General features: G+C 41.3%; 1 protein-coding gene across 11 annotated transcripts in view; it reads right to left on the reverse strand.

The window, feature by feature from the left end:
- The window catches only part of TUBGCP3 (tubulin gamma complex component 3), a 120,620-nt gene that overhangs the window by 26,273 nt on the left and 77,229 nt on the right, over nt 1–17,118 (reverse strand). For 10 of the 11 annotated variants that reach the window (XM_017020323.3, NM_001286277.2, XM_011537462.3 and 7 more), the window contains 6 exons: nt 16,091–16,201; nt 15,659–15,767; nt 11,037–11,226; nt 8,603–8,738; nt 7,692–7,760; nt 5,157–5,292 (listed from right to left, as the gene is read on the reverse strand). In XM_017020323.3, the coding sequence (XP_016875812.1) occupies nt 5,157–5,292; nt 7,692–7,760; nt 8,603–8,738; nt 11,037–11,226; nt 15,659–15,767; nt 16,091–16,201 (751 nt within the window). Of the gene's footprint in view, nt 1–5,156; nt 5,293–7,691; nt 7,761–8,602; nt 8,739–10,379; nt 10,582–11,036; nt 11,227–15,658; nt 15,768–16,090; nt 16,202–17,118 lie in introns of those variants that run through there. The other variant, XR_007063655.1, reaches the window with a different exon arrangement.

Consider the following 17,118-nt stretch of genomic DNA (forward strand, 5'->3'; position numbering starts at 1 on the left):
TAAGATAAAATCTGCGGTGCTGCTTTACATGGAAAAGTGGCATTTTGGTTCTTCTCTCAATAATAATTATGTGCTTCATGGATTTCAAATTTATGCTCCACTGCTATTTCTACACCTTTCTGCAAACACAGCAACTTTTCATTTCAAAATAGAGCCAGGGTGGATCCAGGGTGTAATCTTTTTGAAGGCAATGAACCGCAGCTGGGCCGGTACTAAAGGCTGTGCTGCCGGAGCACAGAGCCCAGCTCCAGGATCCAAGAGGAGCTGGGGCCAGGTTTACGCAGCTGCAGGCCACAGGAGCCTGCAGCTCCACAGACTTTAAGACACATTGAGAACATGAAAGCAATGTGTATCTTAGAAGTGATACAATATGGTTAAAAGGAAAACCAAAAAAAAAATGTAGTATGAGCTATTAAACCTTCATTTACCTTATTATTCGATATATTGGGCCAAAACCAAATTTGGGCCAATCCAACCTTTTCAGATTCTGGGTCTCAGGCTGCTCTCCACTATACACTAGGGAGGTTTGACTGTGGTATCTCCGAAGTGCCTTCTACTTGAAAGCTTTCTAATTATAAGGGACCTGCTGGTTCAGATGTGGCCCCACCAAGCTATTTCCACAGCCAGACACTGCTCTCCAATACCTACACAAGGAAGCACTTACTCAGACACTCGTTCTCTCGAAAGCACATTTCATTCAGTGGGATTAGAAAAGATAAAGGAAAACCTGTAACTTATTATCATTACATTTTAGACAAGAAATAATTGAGTGTCTAGTGTACAAGCTCTAATTTTAAAATGTAGTATTATTTACATCTCATTTTAAGCTAGTGGAGTTCCATCATCTTAAACAGTGGCTGAGCACAGTAGCTCACGCCCATAACCCCAATACTTTGGGAGGCCAAGGCGGGCAGATCACTTGAGGCCAGGAGTTCGAGGCCAGTCTGGCCAACATAGTGAAAACCCCATCTCTGCTACAAATATTAACACAAAAAATTAGCTGGGCATGGTGTACATGCCTGTAATCCCAGCTACTCAGGAGGCTGAGGAATGAGAATCGCTTGATCCTGGGAGGCGGAGGTTGCAGTGAGCTGAGATCACACCACTGTACTCCAGCCTGGGCGACAGAGCAAGACTCTGTCTCAAAAAAAAAAAAAAAAAAAAAAAGGCCCAGACACAGTGGCTCACGCCTGTAATCCCAGCACTGGGGGAGGCCAAGGTGGGCAGATCACCTTAGGCCAGGAGCTTGAGACCAGCCTGGCCAACATGGTGAAACCCCACCTCTACTAAAACTACAAAAAATTAGCCAGGCGTTGTGGCGGGCACCTGTAATTCCAGCTACTCATGAGGATGAGGCAGGAGAGTAGCTTGAATCTGGGAAGTGGAGGTTGCAGTGAGCCAAAATCGCACCATTGCACTCCAGCCTGGGTGACGGAGTGAGACTCCATCTCAAAAAAAAGGTAAACGTAAATCTCCACTAACCACTGTTCCCTGAGAACTTCAGGGACCATTTCAGAGAATTAACATTCTCTTAAGAGCCCTCTAAAAGCTGTCTAAACATTAATTTTTAATTTTTGTCTCAGATGAGTAAGTTAATGTCTTAAAAACCAGAGGAAAACTAAGAAAGTGTTACTTCTGAATCAGACTTCTATTAGAACCTGACTACGTAAATTTCATCTTGATTCTTCATGAACGATGAACGCATCCTTGTTTTCCCTCAAGAACATAAGAGATCGATTTTATTTCTAATAAAGACCAAAAGCAAATTATTTCAATGCCACTGTTTTGAAAGAGGAAAGGGAGGGAAGCTGAGGGAGAAAGAAAAAGCCTCCATTCGTTCCCTCCCCACCCCACACAAAGGCTGAGAAAGAATACAGGCTCAGTTACCTGTATTGGTCCATTTCATTTTGTGAAATGTTATCTGAAACATGAATTTAGTTTCCAGTAGTAGAAATGTTTTTTAGATTAATTGACTCTAACAAACCATTTTAGTATTAGCCGCTGTGTTTTGTCCAGCTGACTGGCAAATACATAAAAAGCTGCTACCATCCAGGATTGGTAGAGGCGTGAAAAGCAGATCATCTTACATGAGGAATGGGTGGGATCTGCTTGGTAGATCATGATCAAAAACTCTTGCCCCCAGCAAAGCACTTTCACATGTAACTACTTTCTGCACACCATGAAGCAAGTTACTACTTTGATGAATATTGCTAAAACACTAGGGTGATAACTGTTGATACTTTAAGTAAGACTAAGCTGTCCTCTGCATACCACGCCCATACAAGGCCCCGTGGCAGCTGTTGATGGGAGCTCTCTACAGGGTCTGTCTGTACTCTGCTTCAGATTTATCATTAGCAGGACATTTCTAACGCGCTGGATTAGCAAAATCAGCTAGTTGATTTCTGCTCATGAAGCTGCTTGGCCATGAACTACTTTAAAATACTTCTTTATTAAAGGTAAGAACACTGACACCCCAACAGAAACACAGGTAAAACAATTCCTGAAAAAGGAAATATGGTAGTCCCCCACACAGTTTCTCTTTATGCTGTTTGTCACCTGCTGTCAACGGCAGTCCAGAAATAGCACATGGAAAATCCCAGAAATAAACAATTCATAAGTTTTCAATTGAGCACCGTTCTGAGTAGTGATGAAATCTCACACCATCCTGCTCCAACCTAGCCAGGAAGTTAATCAACCCTTTGTCCAGCAAATTCATGGCGTATCCAACCCCCCGGTTAGTCACTCAGTAGCTGTCTCAGTTATCAGGTCAACAGATCACGAGAAAAACAGGTGAGCACAGTACGGTGAGATCTTTTGAGAGAGACATAACACCCACATAATGTTTGTAATAGTATGATGTTAAAATAATCCTATTTTGCCATTAGTTATTGCTGTTAATCACTTACTGTGCCTAACCTATAAGTTAAACTTTATCATAGGTAGGTACATATGGGGAAAAGCAGTATACGTAAGGTTTGATACTATCTGAGGTTTCAGGCATCCATGGGGTGGGGGGGAGGGTCTTAGAATATATCCCCTGTAGATAAAGGGAATACTATATAATACAGCAAAACAAAGAAAAAAGAGGCCAGGCATGGTGGCTTATGCCTGTAATCCCAGCACTCTGGAAGGCCAAGGTGGGAGGATCACTTGAGCCCAGGAATTTGAGGCTAGCCTGGGCAACAAAGGGGGACCCCATCTTAAAAATAAAAAGTGTTCACCCTCATCAATCATTTTAAAAGCATAACATTTAAAAAGCATAAAAGTTGAAATGAACTTCCATTTTCACCTATGAATTGACAATTTATTTGAATTAATAGCCAATGTTAACAAAAACAGTGATACAGACAACTATCAACAATACAATCTGGGCTTACTGAGATATGAGCTAAATTGGTACACTTTTCCCAAAAAGTGATCTGATAATATCAATAGAGTTAAAATATGAATACTTAGTAAGTAAACAGTCAAACTAAAATTCAAACTGTTAAGCAAGCAGTTCCACTTCTATCTATTCTCAAGAAATATTCAGAGGCATATAAAGTTGTATTTATAAAAACATGCATGGCATTATTTATATCGGCAAAAAATTGGAGGAAAAAACTACATGTCCAGGCAAAGAGAAATGATGAAATCATATGTACATGAGGTAATATCGTGCTATTAAAAATGGTTCAGAAAAAGTTTCAATAGCGAGGGGGAAGGATCAGCAGAAGAAGCTGGAGTCAAACTCTGTGAAGCAGGATCCTAGCGATATAAATAAATTTTATAAATAATAAAATATGCATTTTCCCATACATAGAAAACTGATCAAAAAATTTATTAGTTATCTCCAACTAGAAAACAAAACTCATTATTGATATTCAATACAATAAGAGAAGAGCAAATTGATACAGACGTTGCTAAACTGATAATCAGATCAGAAAACTATATCGCAACCAGCCCATATTTCAAGTTGATAATGGAGCTCAGCCTTCACAGAGGCTTATTTTGACGTGTGACAATGACAGCATCGGTTTGGCCTTGAATTGGTCTAAATCCACTACAAGAAAGATGCTGCCTCGTGAAGGGGGCAGCCAGGAACCGATCTACCTGGTGGTATTCATAAGAACACAGGGGGAAGGAGAAGTGCAGGCAAGTACACATCCAGTTAAAGCAACTGTGAGCAAGGGAATCCGCAACAGTGGCGAGAAGGACGGTGTGAAACCATGGAGAAAGGAGACCCGCAGAGCCCCAGGCGTGCATGCAGCCCTCTCAGCACGGCCCTCCTCCCGCCTCCCGTCCAGTGGCAGCACATTCATAAGAAGGGTACCCTGCCCGCAGCCATCACTGCCTTTAAAAGAAAATCTCCCCTTTGCTTCCCTCTCAGCTAATTCAGAGGATTCCTACCATTCACTTCCCACTATAGTCAAATATCAACACCCAATAAAAACCGACAATTCTACATGTCAGTGTTGGCTCAGACAGGGAACTCCCTGCCCCACAGCCTTCGGCAGGGGTCACTATTCTGGATCTCTGGTAGCTGCTCAGGGACCAGCCTGTGAGCTGGTAAAGAAGCAGAGATCATGAACTGCTTTCTCCAAACAACTGCTCTCTTTTTATTCTTAACAATTACTTTTCACCAAAGGATTAAAGGCATATACCATTTAGTTCTTCCTTAGAGACATACCTACTGAAATACTTTCTCAAAGGTTCTGACCAAATCAATTTTATATAAAGACTTCAAAATTACTTGTAATTTAAGTCATTCAATGTTTATAACATTAAAATAATCTTGACTATCTGATACCTAAGAATTTTTACTATAGTTTTAGATTGTTTTAAATAATATATTCTCATGTTCTGGTTTATGGACAAAACAAAACATTAAAGAAATTCTCAAAAACAATTTAGTTAAAACACTGTATGGATTTTAAATGAGTCAGTGATTTATTAAACTGTTTTCCTTAAAAATAGGCAATTTTTAAAAAGTATATATATGAACATTAGAATAAAAAATAAATGTGATTTTAAAAGAAAGTTCGCCATCTGAAAAAAATATATAGCTGTCACCGTGAGTCTACCTTAACTTCTGCGGAGTTGCTGGAAACCGCACCCAGTGGGGGCTGGAGGCCGCTGGGAGTGTGTGCGGACCCGTGACCGTGCTGGGGGCTCACCTGGCATGTTTCTCAGGAGCTTTGCATTGCACATGTGTCCCTTCCGTATGTCAGTGAGGATGTATTCCATCCGCTTCGCCCTCCAGAGGAAGTTAAATACTCTTAGGTAGTGGCTCATACATTCTCGAGTAAACACCTGGGATAACAGCAGAAGACAAGTTGATAGTATTCCCACGTAAGAATCCTCTCAGTACAGGTCTCAATCTTTTTTTAAAAAGGTACATTTTAGCAAACTATCATAATAGGCAGCATGCTAAGTAAAGTCACAGTAACAGAAGGCAGGCATTTTTATGCCAGTTGTACAGATGGGGAAACAGAGGCCTAATGTTACACAGCTTGCAGTTTATTAGGATTTTCAATCCATTTTAGACTAGTCTAAACCTAGTCTAAAATGTGGACTCTTCACTACAACTCCCCCCAACCCGCCTGAGGGATCCGTGAGGCAGGGGTGCACTTTCTTCTGTAACAGTAGCTCCTAAGGGTGGTGAATCTCATGGAAGGTAGGCCTAGAAGAATCTCCCGTCTGAAAAGAATCCTTCAGGTTATTTTCACCCATTTACTTTTATTTTGTTTTTTTGTTTGTTTGTTTGTTTTGAGATAAGAGTCTCACTCCGTCACCCAGGCTGGAGTGTAGTGGTGAGAACTCAGCTCACTGCAACCTCCGCCTCCTGGGCTGAAGGGATTCTCATGCCTCAGCCTCCTGAGTAGCCATAATTACAGGTGTGTGCCACCATGCCCAGCTAATTTTTATATTTTTTAGGAGAGGTGTGTTTTTGCCATGTTAGCCAGGCTGGTCTCGAACTCCTGGCCTCGAGTGATAGATTTGCCTTTTTTAAATAAATCTATGATATAAACTTTTTTCCTCGAGTCCTTCTACTAAAGTAGAGCTTTACAGACCTAAACATTCAACATTATTGCATTAGCAATTGTTTATGTACATGGCATGACAACTTTGACACTCTTAATGAGATCTGTAATACTACGAAATAATTAATTATCTCTTATCTAGGCAATGTTCAGTTTACCTATTTGTCAAGGCACTCAGACTCTGTGAAATAATCGATGCAATTATCTGTACTATGGTATCTTTTATGCTATGAAAATAATACGTAATGTATGCAAATTAACAAGGCAGGAGATATGAAAGTTGCTAATTTAAATAATTTGTTAAGGCCGGGCACGGTGGCTCATGCCTATAATCCCAGCACTTTGGGAGGGAGGCAGGTGGATCACCTGAGGTCAGGAGTTTGAGACCAGCCTGGCCAATATGGTGAAACCCCATCTCTACTAAAAATACAAAAATTAGCCAGACATGGTGGCTTGTGCCTGTAATCCTAGCTACTTGGGAGGGTGAGGCAGGAGAATCGCTTGAATCTCAGAGGTGAAGGTTGCAGTGACCCAAGATTGTACCACTGCACTCCCAGCCTTGGTGACAGAGTGAGACTCTGTGTCAAAAATAAATTAAATAAATAAATAATTTGTTAAAATATCACACTGCTTTTTGCATTGTAACTATTTTAAATTGTTTAGGATATAAGTCAAAAGAGAAAAAGCTAATTTGAATATGATGAGAAATTAAATTTAAGAGAAGTTATACACTTAAAATATAGTAGCTTTGATCAATAAAGGTTACACACCAGGAATTTATGTGTAAAAAGGAAATTGCACCAGCAGTTCCCATCTCACTGTAGACAGGAGAGACACACTTACCAGTGGCAGGTTTCTTACCCCCAAGAGGAAAGAGGGTGAGTGTGCCCTGATGCAATTATTGCAGCAGCGTGATATGCACCCTGAGAGGCGGGAAAACAGCACGAAGCAGGCTCTACCAGAACCACTGAGAAGAAATTTTAGAGCCCAACTATATTCCTTCTCAACAGAATACTTTTCCCAATACCTCAAAGAAATGCAATGTCCTTCTTCAGTATTTCAGATATAAAAATGACTGAAGTAAGTTTAGAGGGTATCTTGGTCAAGGAAATTTATTCAAGTCTGAATACTTTAAAAATGCGCACTAAAAAGAGGCATTTTAATTGCAGACATGTAAAAAGACAGCTTTCCTGGTCAGCCTTTTATAATGTGGTAACTGTTATGTAGGTAAAAGCACTATGAACAAAGTACAGCTGCTTCCTCATCGGTTTAAATGAATACTAAATACCAAATTTTATCTAAGTAGTAAAAATATGATTCCCCTAAAATACACTTTATAGTTCCTTTCACATTATCCTTAACTAGTTGCCACAGTATAAGAATAATGGAAGAAAATGAACAGTCCATTTATTAAGGAGTTGCTGAAACCTATGATAGAACAAATGATATTTTTAAGAATTTTTAAAATAATAGAGCATTTCAGTACTCATTAATAATCATTTAAAACACACACACAATTTTGGCTTAAGTATTCATTCAATGAGTAGATCTTAGATGTCGAGTGATCACTTGAATTAGAAGTCCCCAGAGAAGAAAGCCAATTTCAAACAAAATGTTTAACAATCTTAATAGTTGTAAATACTATAAAATGATGCAGGATAATCTTACAGTTGCAATTGGTCCGTCAACATGATAATCGAGGCTGAAGACATCCCATCCAGTGTCACCTGGAGAGACCTAACAACAGAAACAAACACATAATTGCAAGACCTTAAGCTTCTTGCTGAAGAACTTGTTAACGCAAAGAAAAAGCAGTAAAATAATGCCCAATTGTTAAAAACTGCTCAACAGTTCTGAGTGCATCTTCTTGTTAACTTCTACAACCTCACCAATTAGGCAATAATGAGCACACAGTAGGTGCTCTGCAAACATCTGGCAATGCATGGTGTATTTCTGAATGAATATTGTGACTATGCGTTTAAAATTCATCACCATTTGCTTACGACGAAAACCCACTGCCTCTAAATATGTTCCAAATCTTTTTATTCCAAGATGACTCTTGCAATATTTTAAGAAAACCAACCGTTCTGCTAATGATCTTCCATCACAACTAAGTAAATAGTGGGTTTATGTTCATAATAACCACACCCTTAAGAAAAGTCATGTCCTACCAAACTGCAACTAAAAGCATCCATTTTCTGATAAATACCATCGTACACCATGTCTTGTGCTCCTGTTGGATTTACTATGAGAAGAAAGCACCATTTTCTAAGCATCTGTGATATGCTGCCCAGCACAGGGCAAGGGTGTCATGCGTTTTCTCCAGCTTAAGCCTAGCAGCCCTGCAAGGCTCCCCGCTGCAAGATGGGCAAACGGAAACCCAGATGGTGGAGAGGGAGCAGATGTGCTGACCAGGCAGTAACAAGCCACAGAGTGGAGTTCCTACTCAGGCTGCCCAGTTTCCAGAAAGATAACGGCTAGCTGTGCCTGAAACAACATGGAAAACACTCGCTAGAACACCCCGGCCCAGTGGGTCCTCGGTGCCGGGGCGGCGTTCCCAACACGCAGAGCCGCAGTACCTCCAGCAGCCGCACGTCCAGCCTTCGCAGGATCTCAGGACTGTCAAACTGTGCGTTGGTGGCTCTGACAGCGGTTTCTAGAATTCCAGTCAAGTTATGCTGATACAAAGTCGTAGCTGGACGGACAAGTTCTGGTCTTAACAAATTTTTTAAAAATTAAAGAAAATATTACTTCAATTCTTAATGAACTTTAAAAAACGTATAAACTATTAAAAGTAAGAGTTCAAATTATAAAAACTCAAAAGACAAATGGGACCAATACAATAATGCGGCAACAAAAGCTTCAGAGCATTAACTGCAAACAGGGCTTACTAATTATTGTGGAGTTACATTTCTTTAAAATCTGAAAAATACTGATTTTGGCCAGGAACATTTGCTCAAGCTTGTAATCCCAGCACTTTGGGAGGCCAAGGTGGGAGGATCACCTGAGGTCAGGAGTTTGAGACCAGCCTGGCCAACATAGTGAAATCCTATCTCTACTAAAAATACAAAAATTAGCCCAGCATGGTGGCGGGCACCTGTAATCCCAGCTACTTTGGAGGCTGAGGCAGGAGAATCGCTTGAACCCAGGAAGCAGAGGTTGCAGTGAGCCAAGATCGTGCCACTACACTGCCTGGGTGACAGACAGAGCGAGACTCCATCTCAAAAAAAAGAAAAAAAAAGAACTGATTTTGATTCAGCTTAAATTGAAAGTACTTAAATGTGCTATACATGTTAACAAAGTTTTCAAACTTCAGACTGGCCTATGAGTAGCATGAGCTGATATAATTTCCTTTTAGACCCAATGGGAAGAGGAGAGGCCTCCATCAAATCAAAGCAATTAGGTACATGGATGTCATGATTCTAAAGGGCCAAGAAACACTACACTTTCAGCAAGCATTTCTTGAGGGTTACTGATATCTGCTTTTATAAATATGAAGCTAACACGTCTCTAATCGGGGGTGACCAAGTTAGGAACACCACTAATCAACTCAGGTAGACGTGTAAGCTCTACAAAACACAGGGCAGAGACAAGGTGAAAAAGACACACAACGTCAAATAAACCTAAAAACTAGGAACTTAAAATACGACATTGAGGAGAAATGAATTTTTCATTTTATAGCACGCATGTGATACTTTCAACATTAAGATTGGGCACAAGGCGAATGCGTTCAGCCGGCTCTATGATGTGACCTATGACACCATCAGTGTCCTCCAAACCTCACTTTGGCTCCTCATCTCCATCTGCACCAACTGACCCACATACACACCCCATGCCCCCATGGCATTAGAGAACATTTCCCCTTTAAAAGCTCATCACCACTCATACTTCAAACAGGTGTTGACCTCATCACAACCAGCATTTACTGTACTAGTGAACTTTCTTTTCTTACAAATGTGTTAGCAGGCATCAGCTATGACTAAGGCATGAGCATGTCACAAGCCAGCTATGGCTGTGTACGCCTCAAAAAGCCACATGAGTTTTCACACGGGAGACTGGCTTCTGGCTAGAAGGTAGGATGTAAGAGCCTGCATGTCTCAAACAGTGCTTCTCAATGTGTAGTCCCCACAAACGCAGCATCACCAGCAGCTGGAACTGGCTGGAAATGCAAATCCTCTACCCCACACCTGAGAATCTCATTCTCTGAAGTGGGCCCACAAGCTACTGCAGCAAGCTTTCTAGTCTGTGATACACTGAAACTTGAGGACCTGAGGCCTAAAACAATTGCTTGGGGAGCACTGGCAGGGTTTAAAGGTAAGTTACTATTTTGTGTCTTAAAGGGAACATTTATCTTACTTTAAGTGTCCTAAAAGGAACACCAGAAAAGAAGTTTCATTCTTCTAAACACTTGGGTGAAAATCTCCAGGCCCAGGCTGTGGACCCCTGGGATGCTCATGCCCAGGCTCACGCTGCCTGGGCCGGGGTCTGCACTGTCTCTAGACCTAGAAGCACAGCAGGCTCTGGTCCAGAACTTGTGGAGAAGGACATACATTTAACTCTGGAAGGGAAGATGCCATGAGAAATGTCAGGGAGCAAAATGAAAAGGTCATAGTTTCATTTTTAGGTGAACATTAACTACAAATATAAAAGTAAAATTCAACTTTAAAATATATATTTTATTTTTCAGCTTTATTTCAAACTCAAGCTAAAGTTAAGTGTGATTTGACCAACTCCTCATACATGAAGACTGTAAGCCCCACAGTTTTGGAAAGAAATGCCAGTTTCTCTTATGAATAAAGCACAGAACATGACAATGATGCTCTGCTGATAACCAGAGAAAAATGAAGGGGCTTTACCTTTTGAAAATTTTACATTCTTTTCAGATTTTATTTTAAAAAGTATGCTCGAAGAATTCAACTCATTTTCTTTTAATATAATTTATTCTTTTAAATACAAGATTCCTTATCATGTCAAATATATTACTTATTTATAGAAATCAAAATAGTGCCTTACTTTAGCAAGTCCATTAAGTGCCTTATAAAGTCTCCTTGACCAAGAAGCAGGTACCGCCTCATTGCCTGCATGTGGTCCAGCAAGCTGTACTTTTTATTGAGAACATCCAACAGGTATTTGCTGGTCTCAAAATAAGCAGCATCAATCTTCCCCTGAAATGCATTTTCCAAGTCTGTGAATAGGTCTGCAGCTGTAAAGAACAACAGGGAAGAGCACACATGCATATGTAATTTGTATTTCCACAGAGGAGAAATGAAGGCACATACATCCAGACTCAGGGCCAACCACTGCCTGTGGCATCAGTAACAGACTGACCGCAGGCACAGACAGCTGGACATTCCACAAAGGAGACCAGAGCCCTAAGACCACACACATGAAAACAATTCTGCCAGCTGGGTTCACAGCAGACACCTACATGTGTGTCTTCATGATTTCCAAATCCCTTAATACACTGTAACTAACCGTAAATCTCACCAAAACACACTGGTAATAGGGCAAGTCAGTGCTGAGTCACCCGTCCATACCCATAAGATGTTTCCATAAATTAGTCTTAAGACCAAAACAGCACATGCAAATAAGCTTTGTGAATTGTACAACTCGCAAAAGTTGAGTAGTAGTATCATGCACCATAGAGTGAACTCTACGGAGATTGGTGGAGATGTCTAGGGGACAAAACCAGATTGTCACCAATAAAGACGCCTGACTCTAAGCAGTAACATAGCGGAAGAAAGCATTTCCATAGCTTTCTATTGAGAAGAAATTGCAGGTGGAGACTATACACATAACAGAGCTTCTTACAGTGCTGATTTACATCTGCAAAGCACAAAACCATTTTTAAAACTTATATGAATACTTCATTTCATTAAACCCACAATAATACTTAAGCTAGACAATAACCCCAGTGGGAGGAACAACCTCAGACTGAGAGAAGGAGGCAAAACGCTAGCTGAAGACTAAGCAAGGACAAGAAAGGCGAGATCTTCTGATTCAGAGTTTAAGTCTCTTTCCACTATCTGAGTTACCCAGTTTAAATATACCAGAAGACTCTTAAGATTTGTTTGTCCTTCCGAATAAGAAAGCAGTTAAGACAGGCCTATTTTAGTGTTGCTATTATTCCAATTTCACACTAGTAGCAAACAACTAAGATGCTCCCAGTGAAGAAACTGTAGTTATCTGAGGATGAGTGAGGTCTGCCTGGAGTCACGACACCACGGAACCCCTTGATGAGCTCACCACAGTCCTGTTTTAAGGGCATGGGGTTCTATTTCCATTGATCTACGTAGTTTTAATGACATAAAGATTTTTCTCTAGAAATGTTTTCATTACACCCTTGTTTGAGTCATTAAAAATTTTCATTCCAAAGAGAAGGTTTGAATCAGTCTTAGCCCAAAGCAGCCTATGAAGACACAGAACCCAGAGCCTCCTCGGAACTCTCTTTGCTCCTTCAGGGTTGAGGCATCTCTCGTGCTCAGTTTTTAAATTTTCACTATTTATTCTTTATTCACACTTTTAAATCTTCATAACTTTTTCACAGATAAAAATGAATTTGACATGTTCTCCTGTTTTTTGACCATTACTAGGAGTCTTTTAGGATTTGCATCTTCTGTCTTCCCAGTTATACTATAAATACTCAACAGCAGAAACTTTGCTCTCCGCAGACCCTGGCAGCCATGGACAGGACGACGGGGACCACAGGAGTCGTCACAGAGAAGCAGCAGCGTCAGCAGCAGCAGCGCCCCGTCACCCTCAGCATCTGCAGGGGACCAATCCCACGACCCCCACAGACACCAAAATTCCCTGATGCTCAAGTCTCTTCTACAAAATGAAGCAATATTTGCACCTAACCTACACACATCTTCCCATATACGGTAAATCATCTCTAAATTACTTATAATATCTAGCGCAATGTACATGCTATGCAAATAGCTGTTAAATTGTCTTGGTTTTTTGTGTATTTTTTTAGTGGCTGCCTTTTTTTAAGTGTTTTTGATCCTCAGTTGATTGAATCTGCAGATGTGGGGCGGTGGGTACAGGGGCCGCCAGCAGCACAGCAGACGCGGTGCTCACACAAGCAGCAGCAACCTTCATGGAGAGCCTCCGGCACAGCAGGCGCATGGGGACGCCCTGTCCCAGGCACAGCCCATGTGTGCGCCGCCTTCTCTAGGAACTATGAAAGGTCACAACTCGAACACAACTGCTCTCCTGGTTCTTCTTCCTTCCACCTCTTCAGTGTAGAAGCATTTCCCCAAAATCTATATTGGATCACATCTATCTCTATTCCAGGAACAATCTGGGGTCTATGTACCCCCCCACAAAAAAATACATGTAAAATTATGTCTGAATGCTTTAGGGTGAGAGGGCCCATGGCTCTCACATGCCTGGAAAGGGTGTCTCCCCTGGACCACACGGGAGCTCTTGCTACACCATCCTGCCTTGTCCTGAGTTACCATGGTGAGATAAGTGCTTCCAAAATCTCTATATTCGGCCCTGACTTTTAACCAGAGTTTCAGTATAGCATTTCCAATACATGCTGGAAGCTTCCACTAGTAAGTCCTCTCAGCTACTGAAAACCAAATTGCCCGAAATGACATTCCTCTCTCAGTGCTATGCTCTCCCGAAATCCCCTGCTGCCCTTCCGACTTGGCCTCACGAGCTCAGAGTTCTAGTGCCATCACTGACTCTTCCTGATCCCCAGCCCTCCTGTCCAGAGAGCCAAGTCCTGTTAAGAGAACATCTGTCATTCCAGTAACACCTGTAGCTAAAACCATACCCAGTAACCTATCCTGCTTCCTACATGAGGTCCTAGTCTGTCTCTCTTTAGTCTGTCACATTATTAAATAATAACTTTTTATTTTCACTACAATCTTTAGATAAGTCTAATTCGTCCTATTTCTCTTCTGCACTTCCATGCACATTATTCCTTTGTCCTGGGCTGCGCAATAACCCACAACCAAATTCTCCTCCTTCTCCATGGCCAGTGCAATTCCTGCCTCTTTCCAAAGCCTTCCTGTTGAGCCTTGCCTGAAAATACCCAAAGCGCTTCACCTGCACATCTCACGTCCCTGATCACTTTCACCTTTATTACTGACTACTGGTTATTTTACTACACATCTCCTCTCCAAGACCAGACTAATAAGCTCATGAAAGGAACAGTCATGGTGAAGTCATTGTCTCTTTCCTGTAGCTACCACAGTGTCCTACGCAAAGTAAATCTTTTGAATGAACCATGACAATATAAATAGCAAATACAGCCAAAACTGGAGAGCTATAAATATAAGTTAGCCATACACAAAACATCATGAAATTACTGAGGGTGGGGCAGGCGGCAAATGGGGAAAAGGAAGAGAACGAGGGAAAGCCTCAGCACTTCCCACAGGCTGAACGCTCATGCGACATTCTGAATGCAATAAACACAATAAGTGCAATAAGTCCTGGCTCTTCTCCAAACAAAGCCTTTGCATCCCAAAGAATAGGCTACCATTAGCAATATTTTTTCTGTTATTTCTTATTTTGGCACACTGCCACTTTATCATTTTAAAACAGCTATACCTATTCCAACACTTACTGTATAACTGTATAAAAAGGAAATTAAAAATTTACACAGTACTATATATATACATACATAATACTATGTATTAAGGTGTATCAGAGAGTAATTCTAATAATCTATAAATCCTATGGTACAAAAAATACTTTTAAGTAATCTGTAATATCAGCACATCATCATCACCTCCACTATCATCACCGCTATCACCATCATCATATCATTACTATCACCATCCATCACAATTATCATTGTCATTACTATCATCACATCACCATCATCATTACCACCATCATCACCATCACTATCATCACCACCATCACTGCCACCACCACGCCATCATCACCACCATCATCACCACCCATCCCCATCATTATCACTATCATTACACCATCACCATCATCACCACCATCATCACCATCAACATCATCAACACCATCACTGCCACCACCATGCCATCATCATCGCTGTCATCACCACCCATCCCCATCATCACTATCATCACACCATCACCATCATTACCACCATCATCACCATCAACATCATCACCACCATCACTGCCGCTACCACGCCATCATCACCGTCGCCACCCATCCCCATCATTATCACTATCATCACACCATCACCATCATCACCATCAACATCACCACCATCACTGCCACCACCATGCCATCATCACCACCCATCCCCAACATCATCACATCACCATAATCACACCATCACCACATCATCACCATCATCATCATCACCATCATCACTACCACCAGCACACCATCATCACATCCCCATCATCCATCCCCAACATCATCACATCACCATCATCACACCACCATCATTACCCCCATCATCATCACCATCAACATCATCACCACCATCACTGCCACCACCACGCATTCATCATCGCCATCATCACCACCCATCCCCAACATCATTATCATCACATCACCATCATCCCCATCATCACACCATCACAATCACTACGTCATCAACATCACTGTTACCATGAGTATCACCATCCTCACATCATCATCAACATCACACCATTGCCATCATCACCACCCCACCAGCATCATCATACCGTCCTGGGGTGACTCTGCAGACTTGGTCACAGCTATCATCTTTGTAGTGGGAGTCTGATCATGACAAACTTGGTGCAAGAAATTTATTGATTTTCCTATCAAAAGGACCTAAAAAGAAAAACATTCTATGATTACTTTTATGTAAATTTAAAACGACTGCCCAAATCTACAAATATTCGTAAGCTACAAATTGGCTATTGATTGAAAACTAACAAGAGCATCTGCTACAGTATGGAGCGAATTCTAGTAACTCAAAGATATATTGAACACATACTATACTGATGTATTCAATTAACATGCACTTACTTCATCTCCAGAACGTTAACAATCTCAAAACGCATGAAATTTTAACTGAAAATTGGTTTTGTCACATAATCTAAGTATACATAGCCATAAAACATCAAAATCACAAAAATCTCTTCTAATCCTACCTTCCTAGACTGATCCATCGTCATAAACGAAGGAATCATCGATTTCCTCAAAGTATACTTGTCGTGCCACAGTCGATCTGTTTTAACTGTTGGATCTGATGCTACAAAAAACTGAAAGCAAAGGGGCATGGAAATGTTCAAGAGTGATATTTATGGCAAAATATTAACCAACAGCAACATCAAAGAGTAAGTTATTCTAGAAAGCCAAGTTCTCCAGACACAGGGAGTCTTACCTATTTATACAATAAAACTTGTATGAAACACAGAAATCTCTCTAAATTGAACTATGTATTTCCTAAACTTTTAAAACTAAAGTATAACAAAAACAAGTTATGTCTTCCTTGGAGATTCAGAATGTCCATTAGTGCCTCTGCAGCATAATACTGAGGCTTCCTGGGCCACACGGAGCTCTTCCTCAGTAACGGTGCAGGCTTTTGGGGTTCCCCTCCCTCACAGGCAGCAGCTGTGTGTCTCCTCCCATCAGTCTGCCTGCCCTTGCAGTCTCTCTTTTGCAAAGCCCCAAAGCCTGGAACACAGAGGTGCCCAGGCCGGCGTCCTCTGTTCACAGACAAGTCCCAAGCTCTATGGGCAGACCTTGCTGTACATGTACCCATGTGTACAAGGGGCCAGCACCAGCCAGGTGGCACTGTAGAAGTGACCCCTGTGTGGCTCCCCCAGGAACCATCTGTGCTCAGGAGCTTTCTTCCTCACTGGCATGCAGCTCCCCTGCCCTGACCCTGACGGGCACCTACATCACTGCCGTTAGAAAGGAAACTGAGCAGTAAGGAGAAAATTCAATTGCTGTTGCTTCCAGTTTATTTGCCACTACAACAATGCAGCCATTCTCATTTTTCAATCATACACCCTAATAGAATTGCACTTTTATTTCTATAAACTTGTTTTATAAAAGCACAACTGCTGAATTAAAGTAGCTTTTAGTTTTTATAGACAATGCCAGGTTTCCTTTCCACACAGCTGTGTAGACTGACGCTCCCACGGGCAAGATGTCCTGTTTTTGCATCCTGGCT

The sequence above is a fragment of the Homo sapiens genome, chromosome 13, assembly GCF_000001405.40.
Source record: "Homo sapiens chromosome 13, GRCh38.p14 Primary Assembly".
Classification (NCBI taxonomy): Eukaryota; Metazoa; Chordata; class Mammalia; order Primates; family Hominidae; genus Homo; species Homo sapiens.